The 21,708-nt window shown below is 38.2% G+C and overlaps 1 protein-coding gene across 3 annotated transcripts in view; it reads left to right on the top strand.

The window, feature by feature from the left end:
* The window catches only part of CSMD1 (CUB and Sushi multiple domains 1), a 2,059,554-nt gene that overhangs the window by 956,282 nt on the left and 1,081,564 nt on the right, over positions 1-21,708 (top strand). For all 3 annotated transcript variants that reach the window (XM_011534752.3, NM_033225.6, XM_017013731.2), the window contains exon 4: positions 6,534-6,728. In XM_011534752.3, the coding sequence (XP_011533054.1) occupies positions 6,534-6,728 (195 nt within the window). The remainder of the gene's footprint in view (positions 1-6,533; positions 6,729-21,708) is intronic.

Raw genomic sequence — 21,708 nt, 5'->3', positions numbered from 1 at the left:
GTCAACTCAGTAGGTATTTACTAAATTCTTCATGTGTATTCATTACTTCTGGGAGTCACAAAGAGACATGCATAATCTTCAGGCAAACTGGTTAAAATTCAGTTAAAATGAAATTGGCAGAAATGACATTGGGTTGAAATAATTTGCTTTCAAATTAGTTTTTCTCGAACACTAAATTACCATATTTTGGTAATATTTGTGTCTGTGTGTGTCTTGAATCTTTGCATAGACCTAGCAACAATTCCATCAATATTTTACAATTTACAAGTTTTTTTGATTTTTTAGTAAAATTGCTAATGGATTTATAATACTATGTCTGTTTTGCGTTTTTTGGTGTTTGAAACTAGAAGAAAATATTCTAATTTATTCTTAATTATTTCTATTTATTCACATTGTTCCCATTAAAATTTTTACAAAAACTTTTTAAAAAGAAAATTTGTTGAAGATAAAAATCCCCAATCCCTAAATCATAAATTTATAACTTTGTGTCACCAATCAGTGACTTTAAACCTTAAATGGTAGATCTAATCATTTTTTCCCATTTGCTGAGTTATTTTACTTCCAAACTTTTTGAATTAATTTTAAGCCTCTGATACTTATTTACACTTTTTACCAAGTGTGGGAATAAAGTGACTAAAATTATACATTATTTTTTGATTCATTGTTTCTAAAATAACATTTTGTCCAACTGAATTTTGAAAAACTTTTTTTCCTATTCCCACTAAGCTTATGAGCTACGTGAATTTCAGTTATTGTACGTATGTATACGAGAATATATGATCTACTTTATAATATATTAATATTTATATACAAACATAAAAAGATTCAATTCCAACCTGGAATGGTTCAAGGCCCTCAGAACTATTAACGGCTGTTTGCAGTAAAATCTGATAGAGTCATAAAGAACAGATATTTGGAGACCTGTTATCTCATTCAATCTTCACACCTTCCCCTTTAAAATCAATACTGATGGGAAAACATTTTCAGTAGATAAGCACACCTGATAAATATAAGAGACCTAAAGTCCATTCTCCTTTCCATTGCAATCCCTGTCAGTTGAAAAACGGCACCTTGCAAAGGCTATGTCTGATTTGTGTTTTTCAAATTCTTCTAAAATTAAGTGTCAAGATGTTAAGGTAAAGAAAAAAATCTGTAGAGAAGACAAAAAAGCAAACCATTGAAATGGTCTAAGATGCCCCAGAAATAGACATCCTCTTTATTCTCTATAATGCCACTGGGCTGTTGCGTGGAGCTGATGGCCATTGCTGTTACAGCAAGTGCTCACTTCAAGTGCTTGGTAGGTTCTGGGAAAATGTGGCTCTAAGCAAAACAATGTAAGACAAGACCAATTTTCCCACAGGTTAATTGATATAAACAAAAGTAAAGTTCCTATGTCATATTACTTGTCATAGAAAACATCTACAAAATTCTAAATATTAAAGATCAAAACACTTCTAATATTGAACACTGACACACATGTGAGCTCTACATTCACTTAAGAAAGATTAATAAAAACAAGTAAAATAATTTATCCAATTATTCCAGTTTTGGGTTGTGGGTGGCCAGAGCTGTCTCAGCAGCTCCGGGTGCCAGGTGGTCACCAGCCCTGGACAGGACACACTACCATGGCAGGATCACACACACACACACACACACACACACACACACACACACACCCCACACTCACCCATACTAGGATCCAGGGCACATGCCAATGAGCCTAACATGCAAACATGGTCATCTTTGGGATATGGAGGAAACTGGACATACCTCATGCAGAGATGGTAAGAACAGGTGGTGGCCCTGGTCAGGAATCTATTTATTTTTCTCATCCATGTTATAATGAAATAGTGGTGCTGCCAACAGTGCTATTTGAGGACCTGGTGTAAAATAAAAGCCTGCAACTGCATCTGCAAAAGGATCCTTTACGTCAGATACAATGAGAAATGCAATTTCATGAAAAGAACAGGCATGCTCTCCATTGATGTCTAGTTTTTTCTTTGACATCCGCTGCTTCTAACATCTGCCTTAATTTTTCCCTATTAAAAATACCTTTCCTAAATTGATGAAATTGAACAGAATAAATATTTTTCATATTCAATTTTATGGTAGTAGCTGTCTCTTGGAAGTTTGAAGAGATGGGTGTTTACAAATATTTCTTTTCAGACACCTTCTTGGGGAGACTCATATTCATTAATGATATTTTTCCTTCAGAAATATGTAAGTCAATACATTTCTACACTGCTGGAAAATACCATTGCGCAGTACCATGGTAACAATTTTGGAGGGGTCCCTCTTTAAATTTACTAAATATACTGTAGATGATAAAGTGGGAGGCTTGACCATAACAACAGCATCTTGAGATATGTTACATGCAGTCATGCATGACTTAACAACTGGGATGCATTCTGAGAAATGCATCCTTAGGTGATTTTGTCCCTGTGCAAACATCACAGAGCACACTTACACAAACCCAAGTTTTGCGGCCTACTACGCACCTAGGATGTGTGGTGTAGCCTAGTACTCCTAGAGTGCAAACCTGTACAGCATGTGGCTGAACTGAATACTGTAGGCAACTATAACATAATGGTCAGTATATGTGTCTCTAAACATAGAAAAGGTACAGTAATAAAACAGCATTAAAAATAAAAAAAAGTGTTACACTCTCATAGGACACTTACCGTGAATAGAGTTTGTGGGGCTGGAAGTTGCTCTGGGTGAGTCTGTGTGTGAGTGAGGGGTGACTGTGAAGGCTTCGGACGGGACTATGTACGACTGTAGACTTCATAAACACTGTACACTTAGAGTACACTAAATGTATAAAAACACATTTTTCTTTTTTAATCATAAATTAAGCTTAGTATAACGTTACTTCATAAACTTCTTTTTCATTTTTAAGCATTTGACTCTTCCGTAATAATATTTAACTGAAAACATAAACCTTGCACAGTTGTGCAAAACATTTATATTGTTATTCATAAGAGTTTGTCTATTTAAAATTTCTTTATATGTTCTTACTTTTTAAACTGTATTCATTAAAAATTAAGACTCAAACACACACCCTAGCCTAGGCCTGCACGGGGTCATCTCTTCCACCTTGACGTCTTGTCCCACCAGAAGGTCTTCGGGGCAAGGACAGGTATGGAGCTTTCATCTCCTAGGATAATAATGCCTCCTTTTGGAATCCTTCCTGAAGGACCTGACTAAGGTTGTTTTACAGTAAAATCGTAATTTTTTTTTAGTAGAAGAAGCACACTCTGAAATAATGATAAAAAGTATAGTATAGTAAGTAGAAAAACCAGTGACAGTTGTTCACTATTATCATCAAGCATATGCAGTGAACCTAATTGTATGTGCTGAAGATTTGTATGACTGGCTGCACAGGTGGTTTGTTCACACCGGCGTCACCACAGACACGTGCATCATAGCTGGCACTACGACCTCATGACGGCTACAACATCAGTACGCCATCATCTCCTGGGACCGATGTTGTATATGAGTCGTATCATTGAGCTGTTGTTAGGCAGCTCACAACTATATATTACTGTAGAATGTTTCGTTGATCTTTCTGCACGATAATCATTTGCATTATTCATACCAAAGTTAATTGAAAAAAATAATTTCAGGCCCTTTTAACAGAAAAAACGTATAGAAGAGTCGCGCAGACTAAGTTCCATTTCCAGAGTGTTTCATTTGCATTTTCCGTGTGTGACAATGACTGGTCATTGTGGTTATCTTTAGCAGATTTATTTGATAGATTTCCATTGATAACCGTGTCTTTGGGGAACAATTATCTGGACACCTTCTGTTGGAAAATGTGTGCCTTCTAAGAAGAATTAGCAGTAGCAGTTAATAATAATGACCCTAAGAAGACATGTTGATTTATTTTAAATATTCCTGGACATTAAAGAAAAACATCAAAAAGCTTTTGTCCACATGTTTACTTTTTTTAATCACTCCCTTTCTCACTCTTCACATTTACGGTGGCTATACAACGTGTGTCTTTGACTGTAAGAGCTCTCGGCTCAGCTGATGGACAAGGCATTCTGAGTCAAAAGTTGAAGGGCTGCCCTGATAAAATGGAAAGTTTTTCTTCCTTATAAATGTCACTTTTAATGTACTATAAACAGCACACATGTTTGCTTTAAGGATAGTGAATGTGGAATTAAATACAGAATTTTCTTATTAAAAAAGACAAAAATGATTGCAGACAATAGTGAACTATTTTCTGTTGTGTTTTCAAACAGATTTCTGTAGACTGCTCTCAGAAATTACTTCTTAAAAACTAGAACTGAATACACTTTGACTATGTAAATAGAGATCTCATAAACATGTCAATAATATTCAATATCTAAACACTAGTATTTATTTCCTAAATATTTCTATATAGTTCTGTTTGTACTTAAGTAATATCATGATAAATAAAAATACTTTTAGAAATAGATGATTCCTATTCCGTATTCTAAAAATGTTCTCTATGTTACTCAGTTTAAAAACTAATAAAACAGAAAATATTATTCTACATTATATCAATACATTAAAATACACCCCCATGCCGATGCAAAGACAATGGATACAGACATGAAATAGTTTCTGTTCAATTGGAAATACATTTTTATTTGGAAGTGTTTGTATTTCTCTACTAGTAAGTTTCATAGCTTACTTGAATACTAAATAGCAGCTAATTTACTGATGACATACTAAATTTAAACCTTAGATATGGATACAATAGCCAACAATGATGAATTTCATCCATTCAACTGAATGATGTACCGTTTCAGTTCAAAATCATGTTCTATAAGTGTGGAATGGAGTTTCAAGTCAATTGATTTAGATAGAGAATCATATCAAGGAAAAAGTGAGAGGACCAAAAAGAACAGAATCAATACCCCATTATTGAAATTGTCAATGAAAAGAGTCAAACTGTGTAAAATATTTGAAGAGATTTATTCTGAGCCAAATACGAGTCATCAGTGGCCCATGACGCAGCCCTCAGGAGGTCCTGAGAACAAGTGCCCAAGAGGATTGAGCCACAACTTAGTTTTACACATTGTAGGGAGACATAAGACATCAATCAATACACTTCAGATATACATTGGTTTGGTCTGGAAAGGCGGGACAACTGGAAGTGGGAGCTTCCAGGTCATAGGTAGAATCAAAGGTTTTTTTATTGTTGTTGTTTTGTTTTTTTGAGGCGGAGTCTCGCTCTGTCACCCACGCTGGAGTGCAGTGGTGCGATCTCGGCTCACCGCAAGCTCCGCCTCCCGGGTTCACGCCATTCTCCTGCCTCAGCCTCCCAAGTAGCTGGGACTACAGGTGCCCGCCACCACGCCCGGCTAATTTTTTTTGTATTTTTAGTAGAGACAGGGTTTCACCGTGTTAGCCAGGATGGTCTCGATCTCTTGACCTCACGATCCTCCTGCCTCGGCCTCCCAAAGTGCTGGGACTACAGGCGTGAGCTACCGTGCCTGGCCAGGTTTTTTTTTTTTTTTTTTTTTTTTTCATATTGGAAATTAATTGCAAGAGTTAAGTTATTGTCTAAAGACATGGAATCAATAGAGAGGAATGTCTGGGTTAGAAGAAAGTATTGAAGAGACCAATGTTTTTATCATGCATACAAAGCCTCCAGGTAGCAGGCTTCCGCAAACAGATTGTCAGTGTTTCGTATCGGAATTGAGGAGCCTGTTCTATCAGTAATTCCAACAGGGAAGAGAGTATAATGAGGCATGTCTGACTGCCCCATCCCACCACGGCCTGACCTAGTTTTTCAGATTAACTTTGGAATCACCCTGGCTGAGAGGATGTGTCCATTCAGATGGTTGACGGCCTTTGAATTTTATTATTTTTTTACAAAATGAAAGTGAATTCAGTATTTCTGTTGTCAAAACTTAGCACTGAAACTTGCTTTTGAATCAGACACTATAAATGGACAGAGCCTGGCTGCTGGCCTGGAATACAGTAGTGGAACATTTTTTTATACATTGATGGATCAATGCATGAGATTTCTAATTTATTATTTAATTCAATTGCTTATCCATCAAATGTTGATTGAGCGTTGGGTAATGATGTGTAACAGACACTGTACCAGTCGTGGAAGCATAAAAATAAATAGGGTATGAGTATTCACTCTTGCAGTATTTCTTATGCCACTGTTTTAGATTTCTATAGTCTACTGTGTCTGGTTGCTGACACTGACATCTGGTTGCTCACTATAGGAGTAAGTAGAATTTTGTGACTAGAAAAATATAATCCAGACATTATCTGGAACACTGAATAAAAGCAGGACTATATTTTTCTCTCTTAACAAAATGCATTTATTTACACTTTATGATGTTTATAAAAGTGTTATACTGCAGATATTCTAAAACCTGAAGACATTTTCTCAGTTTATTTTTTAGCAACAATTAATATTTTTCTGATGCTAGAGGTTTTCTCATTTTAATAATTCAAAAATGGTGTCTGTTTTATCTTATAAGTGGCTCTCCATGGAAAATTTAACTTGTTTTTTCTCCTTTCTTTTCTTTTTCCAATAGTTTTACCTAGCCACACTTGTGGAAATCCTGGAGAAATCCTGAAAGGAGTTCTGCATGGAACGAGATTCAACATAGGAGACAAAATCCGGTACAGCTGCCTCCCTGGCTACATCTTGGAAGGCCACGCCATCCTGACCTGCATCGTCAGCCCAGGAAATGGTGCATCGTGGGACTTCCCAGCTCCCTTTTGCAGAGGTACAGTGCTACAAGGGGGCTGGTGAGCAGACTCCAGGGCAGGGCAATGGTTTTGGAGATGCTTTTATGAAAGTTTCCACTTAAATGAAAATAATACATGTTGAGCTGACTCTTACAATGTCAGCTCATTCTGCTCCTGAAAGCAATATTACATGTTATTACTATGTAAGAAATAACATGTAATGTGTAATAACATTTAATATTGCATGTTAGTATGTAAGTAATAACATGTGATAAGTAATAATATATAATATTACATGTTATACGAGAAAAGTCATGCTTGGACCACATAAAGTCAATAGCAAGTTTATGACTTCTGATATGATTTAGCTCTGTCCTCACCCAAACCTCATGTTGAACGGTAGTTCCCACAATTCCCACATGTTGTGGGAGGAACCTGGTAGAAGGTAATTGAATCATGGGGGTAAGTGTTTCCTGTGCCGTTCTCATCATAGCACATAAGTCTTATGAGATCTGATGGTTTTAAAAAGAGGAGTTCCCCTGCACAAGCTCTCTCTTTGCCTGCTGCCATGCATGTAAGACGTGATGTGCTCCTCCTTGCCTTCTGCTATGATTGTGAGGCTTCCCCAGCCACTTGGGACGGTAAGTCTATTAAACTTCTTTCTTTTGTAAATTGCCCAGGCTCAGGTATGTCTTTATCAGCAGTGTGAAAATGAACTAATACAATAGATTGGTACCAGGAGTGGGGTACTCCTGAAAAGATACCAAAAGATGTGGAAGCGACTTTGGAACTGGATAACAGGCAGAGTTTAGAACAGTTTGGAGGACTCAGAAGGAGACAGGAAAATGTGGGAAGTTTTGGAATTCTCTAGAGACTTGTTGAATAGCTTTGACCAAAGTGCTGATGATATGGACAATGAAATCCTGGCTGAGGTGGTCTCGGATGGAGATGAGAAACTTGTTCATAACTGGACCAAAGGTGATTCTTGTTACGTTTTAGCAAAAAGACTGATGGCATTTTGCCCCTGCCCTAGAGAGTTGTGGAACTTTGAACTTGAGAGAGATGATTTGGGGTATCTGGAGGAATAAATTTCTAAGCAGCAAAGCATTCAAGAGGTGTCTTGGGTGCTGTAAAGCTTTCAGTTTTATAAGGCAAGCAAAGCATAAAAGTTCATGAACTTTGCAGTCTGACAATGTGATAGAAAAGAAAATCCCATTTTCCAAGGAGAAAATCAAGCCAACTGCAGAAATTTGTATAAGTAACAAGAAGCCAAAAGTTAATCCCCAAGACCATGGGGAAAATGCCTCCAGGGCATGTCAGAGGTCTTCACAGCAACCCCTCCCATCACAGGCCTGGAGGTCTAGGAGAATAAAAGTAGTTTTGAGGGCCGGGCCAAGGGTCCCCATGCTGTGTACAGCCTAGAGACTTGGTGCCCTGCATCCCAGCTGCTCCAACTGTGGCTGAAAGGGGCAACATAAAGCTCAGGCTGTGTCATCAGAGGATGTAAGCCTCAAGCCTTGGCAGCTTCCATGTGGTGTTGAGCCTGCGAATGTGTAGAAGTCAATAATTTGGGTTTGGGAACCTTTGCCTAGATTTCAGAGGAAGTATAGAAATTCCTAGATGTCCAGATAGAAGTTTGCTATGGGTGGCGGTCCTCATGGAGAACCTTTGCTAGGGCAGTGCAGGAGGGAAATGTGGGGTCAGAGCTCCCCCACAGAGTCCCTACTGGGGCACCGCCCTAGTTGAGCTGTGAGAAGAAGGCTACCATCCTTCAGACTCCAGAATGGTAGATCCACTGACACCTTGCATCATGCACCTGGAAAAGCTGCAGACAGTTAACAGCAGCCCATGAAAGCATCCAGGAGGGAAGCTGTATTCTTCAAAGTCACAGGGGTACACCTGCCCAAGACTGTTGGAGCTCACCTCTTGCATCAGCATGACCTGGATGTGAGACACAAAGTCAAAGGAAATGATTTTGGAGCTTTAAGATTTGACTGCCCCACTGGATTCTATACTTACATAGGGCCAGTAGACCCTTTGTTTTGACCAATTTCTCCCATTTTTGAATGGCTGTATTTACCCAATTCTTGTGCCTGCATTTGTCTAGGAAGTAACTAGCTTGTATTTTATTATACAGGTTCATAAGAGGAAGATACTTGTTTTGTCTCAGATAAGAGTTCGGAAGGTGGAATTTCGAGTTAATGCTGAAATAAGTTAAGACTTTGGGGGACTGTTGGGAAGGCATGGTTGGTTTTGAAATGTGAGGACATGAGATTTGGGTGGGTCCAGGAGCGAAATGATATGGTTTGGCTGTGTCCCTACCAAAACCTCATCTTGAATTGCAGCTCCCACAATTCTCACATGTGGGAGGAAGCCAGTGGGAGGTAATTGAACCATGGAGGCAGTTCTTTCCTGCGCTGTTCTTGTGATAGTGAATAAGTCTCTCAAGATCTGATGGTTTTAAAAATGGGTGTTTCTCTGCACAGGCTGACTTTGCCTGCTGCTATCCATATAAGACGTGGCTAGGTCCTCCTTGCCTTCCACCATGATTGTGAGGCTTCCCCAGCCATATAGAACTGTATGTCCATCAAACCTCTCTTTTGTAAATTGCCCATTCTTGGGTATGCATTATCACCAGCGTGAAAACAGACTAATGCAACTTGTTATTATATCCCCCAAATATCCAAAATTGTTTTCATCCTGTTTTTCAGTCTTCATGGATTTCTGCCTATTTTCATCACCTCTCGTTGTAGGATTCAAAGATTTGATGCCAATGTTTATGTCCTTCTAGCCCTGTTGCCTCCTTTTTATCTTTTTTATTAAAAATTACAAACACTCCTTGACCATTTAATGTGTATATTTTAAGAACTCTTTCAACACTGTCAGTCTTCTCAGATAAGGTGATTGTAAGTTAGTGCCCTCTCCCAAGTGCCGTTGTCATATTTCAGAGCAAGATGAGAATTCCTTTACCTGCAACACTGCTATTTTTACATTTTCCAAAAATACTATTTTACTGTTCCAATGACTTTAGAAAAGAGCATACTTCAACTCTTAGGTTTTGACTTTCCTAAGAAAAATTTATCTTTTGAGTACAAAATTAAAAGCATACCTAACATTTATTGAGGTCTTAATGAGATGCCAGAAAATTTGCTAAAAACTTCACTTGGATTATACCATTTAACTCTCACAACAAGCACTAATGTAATAATTATTAACACTCATTTAAAAGGTAAAGAAATAGAGTTTTAATTTGCAAAAGGTTCCAGAGATAGTAAATGTTATGACCCAAACACAAGTCTGGCTTTTAATCTAGGATTGTAAGCATGCCAATTTACAGGCTCCACTGCAAGTCATCATGTAACATTATATTATTTCCTTCAGTATGCTTTTATTTTATCCTTCGCTAGTTATTGCATATTTGCCTATTTTTTTTTCCTTTTTTTGTAAAATGTTAGAGTCTTATGAGATCTGCTTGGTGTTTATTGTATTCATAATGGCATATGACGGCGATGACTGCTACTACTACCACCACCCCACAAGCTAGTATGTATTGTCCACTTACTGTAAGCCAGGCACTACTTTAGCAAATTTAATCTTCATAAGTAGGCATTTTATTAAAGATTCATATTATAGGTGGGGAATCTGGACTTCAGGTAGGAAAAGTGACTTGCTCAAGGTATTTGTGCTAATAGATGTTAGATTTGGGATTAATCGTATTTGAATTATTCCTCTGTCCTAGAGAAATTCATATGATGACTAGTTCCTACTCTAGATGCCCATTATTTTTTCTAAAATGCTCATTTTCTCTTCATGTTCCTGAAGTTTATTATGTCCATTTTCATTTTTTTCTTATTAATTACTTTTCATCTTTATGTTGTCAAAACAGTGGTGGCCTCAAAACCTAAACCTGTATCCCATCTGCTTTCCACAGACTGTTCTCAATTAATTGATCTCACTTAAGAGAGTGCCATTGGGCATCCTAAATATATTCTTTCTTCTTCCTTATTTCTACCATTATTTCCATTACATTCTCACTCTCAGAAAAAAAATCAAAGTTACTGTGTCTTTGTTCTCTTTATTTATTTAATTTTTAATAGATCATGTAGATCTCAAGTCATACTCTTCATTTCAAGTGTCTTGGCCTTACTTCCATTTCTGCCTTTACTATGTTATTTTAGTTATTTATTTCCCTTCTCAAACAGACTGGCTTCAAGTTTGTTCAATGGGCCCCCATGTCTAAAATGTCAGTTGTCATCTGTATTAGTCCGTTATCATGCTACTATGAAGAAATACCTGAGACTGGGTAATTTATAAAGAAAAGAGGTTAATTCACTCACAGTTCTGCATGGCTGCGGAGGCCTCAGGAACCATGCAGTTATGATGGAAGGCACGTTTTCACAGGACAGCAGGAGCGAGAAGTACAGAGTGAAGGGTGAAAGACCCTTATAAAGCCATCATATCTCATGAGAACTCACCCACTGTCACAAGAACAGCATGGAGGACCCACCCCCATGATCTAATCACCTCCCACAATGTGCCTCCCCAACTCATGGGGATTAGGGGATTAGAATTTAGGTTACAATTCAAGGTGAAATTTTCGGTGAGGACACAGCCAAAGCATACCATCATCCTACTTTCTACTCCTGACTCACTCTCTCCTAACATCCATCTTCATCCTAACATTTCTTTTATCAGCCAAACTACTTTGGTGACTCAATGAGAATAAAGTACAAACCTTCAACAGGGCTTCCTATATGCTTCTTACCTCGTCGTAACTAAATGGTGCAATTCCACCTGGTAGTGTACCCAACATGAGTGTAAAGCTTTTTGCTCCACAAAGCTGTGTTTTTCTGTGGCCGACCTATCCTGGCTGGCCTGAGAACTATCTGCTTCTTTTCCAAGTTCTGTGTTCCTTGACATCATGTGGTTAGCTTATTATCTGTCATAGTGGGACTACAGCATAAGAATTGGCAAACACTGCAAAGTAGGTTTTCAGTTTGTTTGTTTGTTTGTTTGTTGTTTGGTTGGTTTTTAAAGAATTCGCTCAGCAGCATACTACACCTTGCCAAATTCCAAACTTTTGCTCAGGTTTTTACACTGCCACAGAGTCTCCCTGTCATCTCCCTACAGCCATAAATCTTAATCATTTGTCAACTTCAAACTTAAATCTAAATTTTAGTTATCATTACAACCCCTTATTACAGTTTCTTTAAGGAAAAAAGAAGTCCCTTGATCTCTCAGATAGCATTTGTCTGATTGCTATTTTATATTTTGACATAATATCTTAATGGTGTTAGCTTGTAGCTTCCCAGGAGATAAGATACCACCATTAAAACTGTGAGTGGCAGTGTCCTTAGTTCCTTGTGACATTAAAACTTGGCCTAAGCCAAGAGTATTTTCCTTCATTGTTTATTGCTTTTTTGCTTACATATCCTCCAGTGGTTTTCTTCTTAATTGGAGGATCTTTAAAATTTCCATAATCGTATCTGTAGTCAAAGTTGACATAACAGTCAGCTAAGTGTCTTTCCTATGCTGCCACCCATGTGGTAAATCCCAATGAGATCAGTGTGCTTTTATCACAGGAAACTTTGTTCTTCTGTATTATAGATTATTACATTTACATTTAAATTTTGCTTTTCTCAGTGTCTGGTGTAGTATGACTTCAAATTGCGTTCCATTACATGTTATTTTATAAAACATATTTGAATGATGCAGCACAGTTTCTCATGGATTTGGATAACTAGATTATAAAGAAAAAATGATCTAATTCTTGTAAATGTGTAAATGTGACATATTTATGAGAGATGTAAATTTCAACCATATGGACTGAGATAATTCACACGAATGAAATGAGTATATATTCTGCTTCCCCAAAGTTCTATTAATACTTATTTATTTGCAGGAACTGGTTGAAGAGTTTTTTTTTTTTTTATAGAGTTCCTAACAGTAGCATGACTGTCTCCTTCTACAATGATCTTTTGCCAGGGTTATAAAAGTTTATAATTTATTCAAACTAGCAATATTTTCCCTGAATAATGACACCTAAATGTATTATATATGTAGCCGTGATGTTCTTTAAAGAAAAAGGTATAACTGTATATTTAATTAATAGAAAATAATTAACAGAACTAAATCAGAGGCCAGTCACCTTTGCTTAAAACTGTGTCCCTTAAACAGGGAACAAACATCACATTGACATTAAAAATGAGACCTCAAAATTCATTTTTCTTGAGAGGTAATCTTTCAACTATTCGTTATTCTTGAGTCTTTCAACTTAAGATCTGTGTCTTTCTTAATTCACCTTATTCATTGTATATTATTGGCATGTTCTGCCAGTCTTAAAAAGGATTTACTGTTTCACTTCTTACAGGCATGATGTCTGTCTAGGGGAGAAATATGAAAAAAGAGAAGAAGCAGCTAGATAGTTTCAATGAAAAATGCTTTTGCCTCTTGATTTAAATGCCTTCTTAATTTGCTTTATGTTTCCCATACTTTATTATTGATTCATAAATTATTAAATAATAATGGTACAGCCTAGGATAGATTATAAATTACTTTGAGATCTAGGGTCCTACAGGGAAATAGAGGATCAAATGCAAAACAAGGTATTCTTCCTGACTGGAAAACATGAAAGATGGTCCACTGTGTGGATTTTGGATAGGGGCATACAAGAAGGTAGAAAGGAAGCAGGTAAATATTTGTATTTAGAAAATCCTCCTCCATGAGAAAGCTAACATCTGATCCAGAACACTCCCCCAGGAGGGGGTGCATTTCTTCACAGGAGCTCACATCCATGGAAAATTACAGTCTCAACATCTCTTGCAGCCCCTTCGGTGTCCCCTTTTATTCCATTGCTCCAATTCTGAATCTTATTTTTGTGAGTATTAGTCTGATGTTGTCCCGGCTGCCTAATTCTACCTATGTAATCACCAAGGCATCAGGCCGTTTAAACCCACCCAGGCCTAGCCCAGGCCAATCGTACTTCAGACAAAGATTCATGCTCCCTCACCTGAACACCACCTTTTTACATGCTTTCATTTATTCTATGATGGAACACTTTGTTTTAGCAAACCTTACTTAAGAAAACAATTCTCAGCAGCATTGCAGAGCTTAGATCCCTGAAGTCATACTCAGGAAGTTCCCAGTCACAAGCTGTCATAAACTACGTATGTTTATGTATGCCGTACTTCACAGAGCGGCCTGCAGTAGCTCCTATGTGCAACTCCAATGAACCACCATAGGAAGGTATCCACAAGTCACATTTATGCAGTGTCTCCTTGGCAATATGCTGAGGCCCATAAATGCAAGATCCTGCTTGTACCTCAAAGAACCTTAAGAAATGGGCAGGGAAAATATGATTATTTCTGTAATAAGGGTGAAAAACTAAAGTCTCAAATTGACTTGACCTCTGATTTAAATTTCTGACTTGGACATTGTAACAAGTCAGCTATAGTTTGGGTGGTCTCATCCCAACTTTACTAACATTGAAGATCAGTAACATATGAACATGGTTGAAGAGTTTAATAATAAAGTTTTCCCATGAAAGTAAAACTTCCATCAGCGTATCCATACTCTTATGCCACAGAATCCATAAGATTTAACCATTTCTGGTTTTCTGTCATTATTGTCTTTTATGTAATTTGTTTACATTATTCTTCATGCTTTATCCGTTGTGAACTTTCTCAATTGACACCTTGATATGAGTATTAATATGTTACATCACTTCTGTTTCCCATGTCTTCTTACTATCTGTTATATTTATGAACTGGAATAATACAACTGATTCTTTATGCTGTATTTCTTTAATTTTTGGTAACATCTCTTGTCTTTCCATTTAGTAAGATGTGAATATTCTTGCTTCTACTCTTTCTAGTATATTTTCTCTCCTGTTTTGGCCTCTATGTTCTCTCAATTGCAATAGAACCTTTGCAGTGTCAAATATGTCAGCCTTTATATTTAATTAAATAATAATAATGAAGTCGCTCTTAATGTATCTAAAGTCTGCTTGTAAAAGTTGAAAAGCAGTGGTCGGGTGCTGTGGCTCACGCCTGTAATCCCAGCACTTTGGGAGGCCAAGGCGGGCAGATCCCGAGGTCAGGAGATCGAGGCCATCCTGGCTAACATGCTGAAACCCCGTCTCTACTAAAAATACACACACAAAAAAAAAAAAAAAAAAAAAAAAAAAAAAATTAGCCGAGCGTAGCGGTGGGCGCTTGTAGTCCCAGCTACTCGGGAGGCTGAGGCAGGAGAATGGCGTGAACCCTGGAGGCGGAGCTTGCAGTGAGCCGAGATCGCGCCACTGCACTCTAGCCTGGGCGACAGAGCGAGACTCCGTGTCAGGAAAAAAAAAAAAAAAAAAGTTGAAAAGCAGTAAGCATTCATATTTTGGTAAGTGCGTGAATATTGCTCAGCACAGAGCCAAGCGTATGCCTGTAATTAGACTTCCTCTTCTGTGATTCCAACATTGCAATCCCTAATGCTACTCAACCCAGAGTCTAGATGAGTGCTGGCTTTGCCTCAATTATTCATAATGAAATTGGAATTACTTTTGTTTCACATTTGGACCAGGGCATTGTTGTTCTGCTTGTTTCATTAATACAGTATTAATGGGCTCAAACAGAAATACTCTTTGCTCAAGTTAAATTCAAAATGAGTCTCAATGATGGGTAGTTGGTTCAGATGTTTTTATGCGCAGCGGTGATTTGGAGATGGCCACCTTTCACATCTGGCTTCCCTGAAGGTCTGTAGCCTGCAACATTGCACTGGGTGAAAAGGAAGAACTTGAGTTGTGATGGGCAGTTCCTCCACACATTAGAGTGCATCTCCTGTACATCCACTGCATTAGCTGAAGCTCAACCATGAGGCCATATTTCACTGCAAAGAGAGCCAGGAAATGGAAGCATCTGTGAGCTCAGGAAGAAGAAAAACACGGATTTGGTAAAAGACTGTCCCATCTTTGCCATACTGCTATTTATTTGCCCTCAAATTTTGAATTATCCTTATTTTTCTCTCATTACTTAGTTGCACACTTGCTTTCATCACAATAATCCATGTATTTTCTGCTTCTTAACTATGTGAATTCTTGCTCCGAATGAACTCTCTTCTTCTTTCTGAAGACCACTGAATTGTTTCTCTAACTTACACGATTGCTTAATATGTGGAATACAATTGTTTTCTCTGATTCCCAAAGTTTCTAGTTGTCTGTTCATCCAGTGAGTTGTCACTTCACCACAGCTTTTCAATATCCCACTTGCCTTCATTTCCCCCAAATCTACCACATTTCTCTCCCTGAGCGCTCACCCAGAGGGTTCCAGAATGGTTTCTAGGACTGTCGCAAAGCAGTAACTTGGAGGCTTCTCTTTACTCGTGCCCTCAATGCACACCCTGTTTCATGACACCTTCTTGTGCCTCAGTTTCACCTCAAATGCTTTCTACCAAATGTTGCTTCGGAGGGAAGTCTTTAAACCTGAGCAAGGCTGCAAATGTCCTTATCTGCATCCACGCCCATGGATGTATTGGCTAAGTACAAACTGTACATAGAAAATATGTCCTCCCATAATTTTTACAGTGTTGCTTCATGATTTTAAGTATGCTATTCACTTCTGCTGAATTGGAGGGGTGTTCACTAAATAATACTTCTCTTCCTTGTCTGAAATCTGAAATACATAAGAGATAAGCAAATGAATAGTGAGGCATAGACCAAAATAGTCAGCACCTTTATTACCAATAACAATGCTATTGTTATATATATATATATACACATAAATATACATATATATTAATATATATACAAATATATACATATTTATGTATATATATATATTCTATATCCATTCATATATATATGTGTGTGTGTGGATACATGCTCCCATATGTATTCATCTGTATATTAAAGAATGAAAAATATAGGCACCTGGACTTTCCAGTGTTGGACTCCAGAATTAGACAGACCTAACTATCCTTTCCTAGGCAGCACTTGACTGAAGCTAGTTGAAAAAAATAAAGATCAAAAGAGCTAGTCAGCTTTGTTGATGATCTGGGGTAGTTTGTTTTCCTTACAAGCTAGAGAGGGGGATGGCACTATTTCATTGTTATCTCTGAGCCAACTAGAGCCCCGGGTCTTTAGTTTCTTTAATTTAGTTTTATCACTAAATGGCTTCTTCATTTGTCACTCAAGATAAAGATTATTGGGGAGGGGACGGGGATAGGTAAAGGGATATTGCAACAATACATAGAGAAAAAAATAGTCACTCCGAACAAGTTTCGCAGGTATGCGCCAAAAGAGAAAAGGGATGGGGAGAGAGAGTTTAAAAAGAGCAGCTACATGTGATAAGTCATTTGAGGGCATCAGGATAAGACTTAGCATGAGGATGATCCCAGGTGCACCTGCTCAGAAGGAGCTGATCCTTGCTGGAGCATCCACACTCTACTGAGGACGATGCTGGGGATGTAGCGGATTCAACTGCCACACGCTTAACCAACAAAAGCCAGGTCCTTAGTAATTAGAGCAGTGCTGTCCACTCAACATATAACACAATCCATAATGTGAGCCACAGATGAAGTTAAAAATCCCCAGATGCGACACGGAAAATGTGACATGAAACAAGTGAAATAAACTTTAATAATGGATTTTGTCAACCTCATACTTCCAAAGGATTATAATTTTAATGCAGAATTAATGTAAACTGTAAGTGAAGTATTTTGATTTTCAAAAGATGCTAGTTTCAAAATCTGATGTGTATTTCAGTTATGCCATTTTGCAATGCTGACTAGCCACATTTCACGTGCTCATGAGCTGCATACACTTCAGGCTACTGTATTGAGCCTCAACTTTAAACTTGTTGTATCCTCTATCCTCATTATTGCTAATGCTTGTAGAGCTCTGATGCTGTCACTGGGTTTTATTCTCACTTACGTTGTAGGGTTTAATAAATAGATGCAGTTTAATCATAAAGACTGATAAGGCAATGGGTCTGAGATATCAAAGTCCACGTCACAATGTGTTGGAAATTCTTCCCTTTAAGTTTCAGCAATTGCTGAAGCATATTTGAGCTGAGTAGGACCAAAAATAGGGTCCCTTTTAAAATTAGTTTAGGCAAAAGATAAGAGTGAGCTAACTCTTGATTAATCTAAAAAGTTTTCTCAAAAGAAATCTCATTTCAGACCTTATCTCAAGGTTGGAAGTAATGACGTTGGGTCTAATGAATGAAGATTACAGAAGACTTTGAGGAACACGCGGATTCGCTGAGGGAGTAAAATGAAAACAGCTTTGTTATCTGTCCTGGAATAAGTAAGAAAAAATAAAGAAGAGTGATTCTAGGGACCTAGCAGTTTTGATCTCTTACCATAAGAGAATTGGAGGCCTTTCTCAGACTTCTCCATCTTGGTTATGTATTCTTCTTATCTGAGATGTTCACCCATCCAGAAAGCAGTAGAGGTGAGATCTGGACCCAGGCAGCCTGACCCTAGCGGTCACATAACCAAGCCCTATCCTATAATATCAATAGAGCATAGAAAAAGTAAATATTTTGAACAGATGTCATGCTCAGTGTCAGTTTAAGGATTAAATGAAATACAACATCTTGCAGTCTTGAGCACAGAAAGAAGGGGATTAAAGTGCTTGTCGTGGTGAAACAGCTTGTTCAGCAGCTCTGCACTGGTCACCTGGGGCAAATCCCAGTGCTGTCAATTGGACACTGTGTGTCTTTGGTCAATTTATTTAATCTGTCTGGCCTCAAGATTTTTATGTGTATAAAAGTGCCTACTTGAGAAATCTGTTGTAAAGATTAAATGGCATAACCCAGGTAAAATGGTTAGCAAAGAGCCTGACACATAGAGAAACTCTAAAAATATCAGCTGCTATAATTACTGTCTCTATCTCCTCTCCCTTCCACTCTTAAGCACGATTTTAGATTTCAGAACTAAGTGCCCAGAGCGGAATGGCAAACAGTTTGAAAAGAAATTCATGTAAGCTACAGGATCTCAATATTGGTAGCTCTTAAAAAAAAGGGTTTTTTTTTTTTTTTTTAATGAATTACTGCTATTCTTTAGAATAAGAAACTAGCAGACTGACTTGAGGAGAGAAATGGTTTGGGGCTCAGGAAAAAGGACAAGAGTGCCTAGTGAAAGAAAGGCCTGTGTGGCAGTGGGTCACTTTATTTTACACACCACCACTTGGACAGAAATATTGGGAAAACTACTTCTACAACAGGCACATTCATACCCACGTGCATGTAAATAACTGACAAAGCAGGAGCAGCATTATCTCAGACAACTGCCACTTTAAGTTCCAGCTCCCTTTCTAACCTCATGCATTTCAAGGAAATCACTTGTCTTCTGACAACAAGCAGCCAGCAAGAGCAGACCGTAAAACACAGATACGACAGCTCAGGCACAGAGGGAATGGGGAATGTCTCTTGGGTAACCACCAAACTTCACATTCATGCAATGGGCCCCAGTAAAACAGTGGGCCCTAATAAGGGCCCTAATAAGGGAATGTTCCCTTCCTTTTAGGTACATGAAGATAGGGAAGCTAAAAGCAGACTTGGTAGTATGCTTGCAGCTTCACGGAGATGTATGGGAACAGACACAAAACTCTCCCTCCCAGATAAGCAAGAGAGAGACACAGAAACATTCCAAGCCTGTGATAAGCTCTCTCGCCCTGAATCTTTAAAAACTCTTAGTCTGTAAGAGAGAGTGCCTCTGACCTAACTCAGCCAGGAGCCTCTCTCAGGTTTATTGTCCATAATAAACCTGTCTTGGACTGTTGAGCTGCTTTTTGTGTTTCTTTCCTTTTTCTTTAAGTCTTACGATACCATGGCCTAGTACAAAAATATGTATCTAGCAGTAGTCCAGATATAGACAATTTCTAGCAAATGGAGTAGCATCTGTCTCAAAGCGATAAAGATTTCATCTTAGTCACTGTAATTGTAGATTTTAAGAAAGTGTGGTAATCAGAGTTAAACACAAAGCAATCACAAAATGTCAGACAATGTTTACATGCCTTACGTATGTTCTTGTTATTAACTTTCATGACAAGTCTAGAAGTTATATATTATCATCATCCCTCTGGTTTAGATGAGACTCCATCACAGAGGAATTCAGTGACTTCACCAAGGTCCCACGCTGTATGTGGGGAAGGCAGAATTTGACCCTGGACACTTTGGCTACAGAGTCTGTGCCACGGCCCTTGTCACATGCTGTCCGTTCTCTTCTAACTCAAGAGAAAAATAAATATTTCTAAAAGAACCTAACTTAAAATTGAGAAACAAATATTACAACTTGAATTAAACAAGTGTTTTCTCCTTGAGAAACATGTGCTTGAATCCTGAATAGTCTGAGTGGGGCAGGGGGTGCTGGTTGCCTGGAGAGGCTCTGCTTTTCTCATCAAAGCAGGTAACTGGCTGGTCCCAGAGAGAGGGAAGCTGCTGGGCTTTGGCTGCCTCCCCTTCCTCCACCTGCTCCTTGTGCAAAGTAGGTACAGCTGTGTTGACAGACCTGCAGCTACTCAGAGATTGCAAACTGGGAGAGAACAGGAATCGAGGCAGGAAGTTGCCAAGAGAGAAAGATGATGGCAGCTCCTCGGCATTATTTGTGGATGAAAATGAATACACATTTAAGCCAGGCCTTGATAAAAATGGCCACAGACTGTAATCCCAAAAGATAGACTCTCAAACACCATAATACCAAATGTTTAAATCATAAAAAGTCAGAATCCTGAAAATATAATTCTGGAAAATATTTTTAAATTATGTAAAAGATGTGTATTTATTTTTTATAAAGGGTTTCTTTGAAAAAAGACATAAAAACACACAAAACACTTTGTAGGATACTTTATGCCATACAATAGGCTATAATAACCAGCTTATTTTTGCAAGCATACATACCCACACTAGTGACAGTTTCATGGGTATGACAGTTACGAGTGGACAAACCATACTCATGAAGCAATTAATCAAAATGCAACATGTATAAATGCATGCCGCTATAGTTGCCCATTGTGTGCAACCAGCTTTATGATTGGAGTCATCAGAAATACCGTGATGATTAGCCTAAGTCCTTTGGTCAGTTGAAAACCATGATGGATCACCACCAGATATACAGTCACCCAAACAGCTGAGATCTCCAGAAATGTTATCTTTTCCAAATGCAGATTACAAAGAGGACATCTCTTCATTTATTTAGGAAGTTTCAGCATTTGTACCATGCACACACAATGCCGAGGCACAAAGTCAATCCTGTGACCATGCAGTTTTTGAAGTCGAATTTGAAAAAAAAAATTCTTAATTAGAACTCTCTAATATTTTCTACACAATTTAGAGTTATAAACGAGGTGGCAGCTGGGCACGGTGGCTCACGCCTGTAATTCCAGCACTTTGGGAGACCAAGGTGGGTGGATCATCTGAGATCGGGAGTTCGAGACCAGCCTGACCAACATGGAGAAACCCCGTCTCTACTAAAAAAACAAAATTAGCTGGGAATGCTGGTGCATGCCTGTAATCCTAGCTACTCAGGAAGAGTGAGGCAGGAGAATCGATTGAACCCGGGAGGCGGAGGTTGTAGTGAGCCAAGATCGCACCATTGCACTCCAGCCTGGGCAACAAGAGCGAAACTTTGTCCTCCCTCCCCTAAAAAGAAAGAAATTATGTGGCATTTGATATTAGAAATGATGAGAAGATGAATTGCATAGCCTTGAATTGTGAAAAAAATAGTGCTGACAATTTAAAATAGTAGAAAAAACTTTAAAAAAAGATATCTAGAAGGAAGCTTCAACATACACAAAAGTGTATTGCAGGGGTAGATATGTACAATTGCATGGAGAGCGTCCAGCAAGGCTGGCTGAACACCGCGGTCACTGAGTACATTCTGAAGTCTTGCCTCCGGATGAATATCTGCTTTTGTTCCTTTATGATGTGGCTCTTCCTTCTGAAAGTCTTCTATGATTTCTGTTATTGTGATTTCAGGGTTTTAGACATTAGGGATTTTGACTTTAAGGAGTTTCATCTTTTGAGATTTCAA

Source organism: Homo sapiens, chromosome 8, assembly GCF_000001405.40.
Source record: "Homo sapiens chromosome 8, GRCh38.p14 Primary Assembly".
NCBI lineage: Eukaryota > Metazoa > Chordata > Mammalia > Primates > Hominidae > Homo > Homo sapiens.
This window is presented reverse-complemented; position numbering and strand designations above follow the sequence as displayed.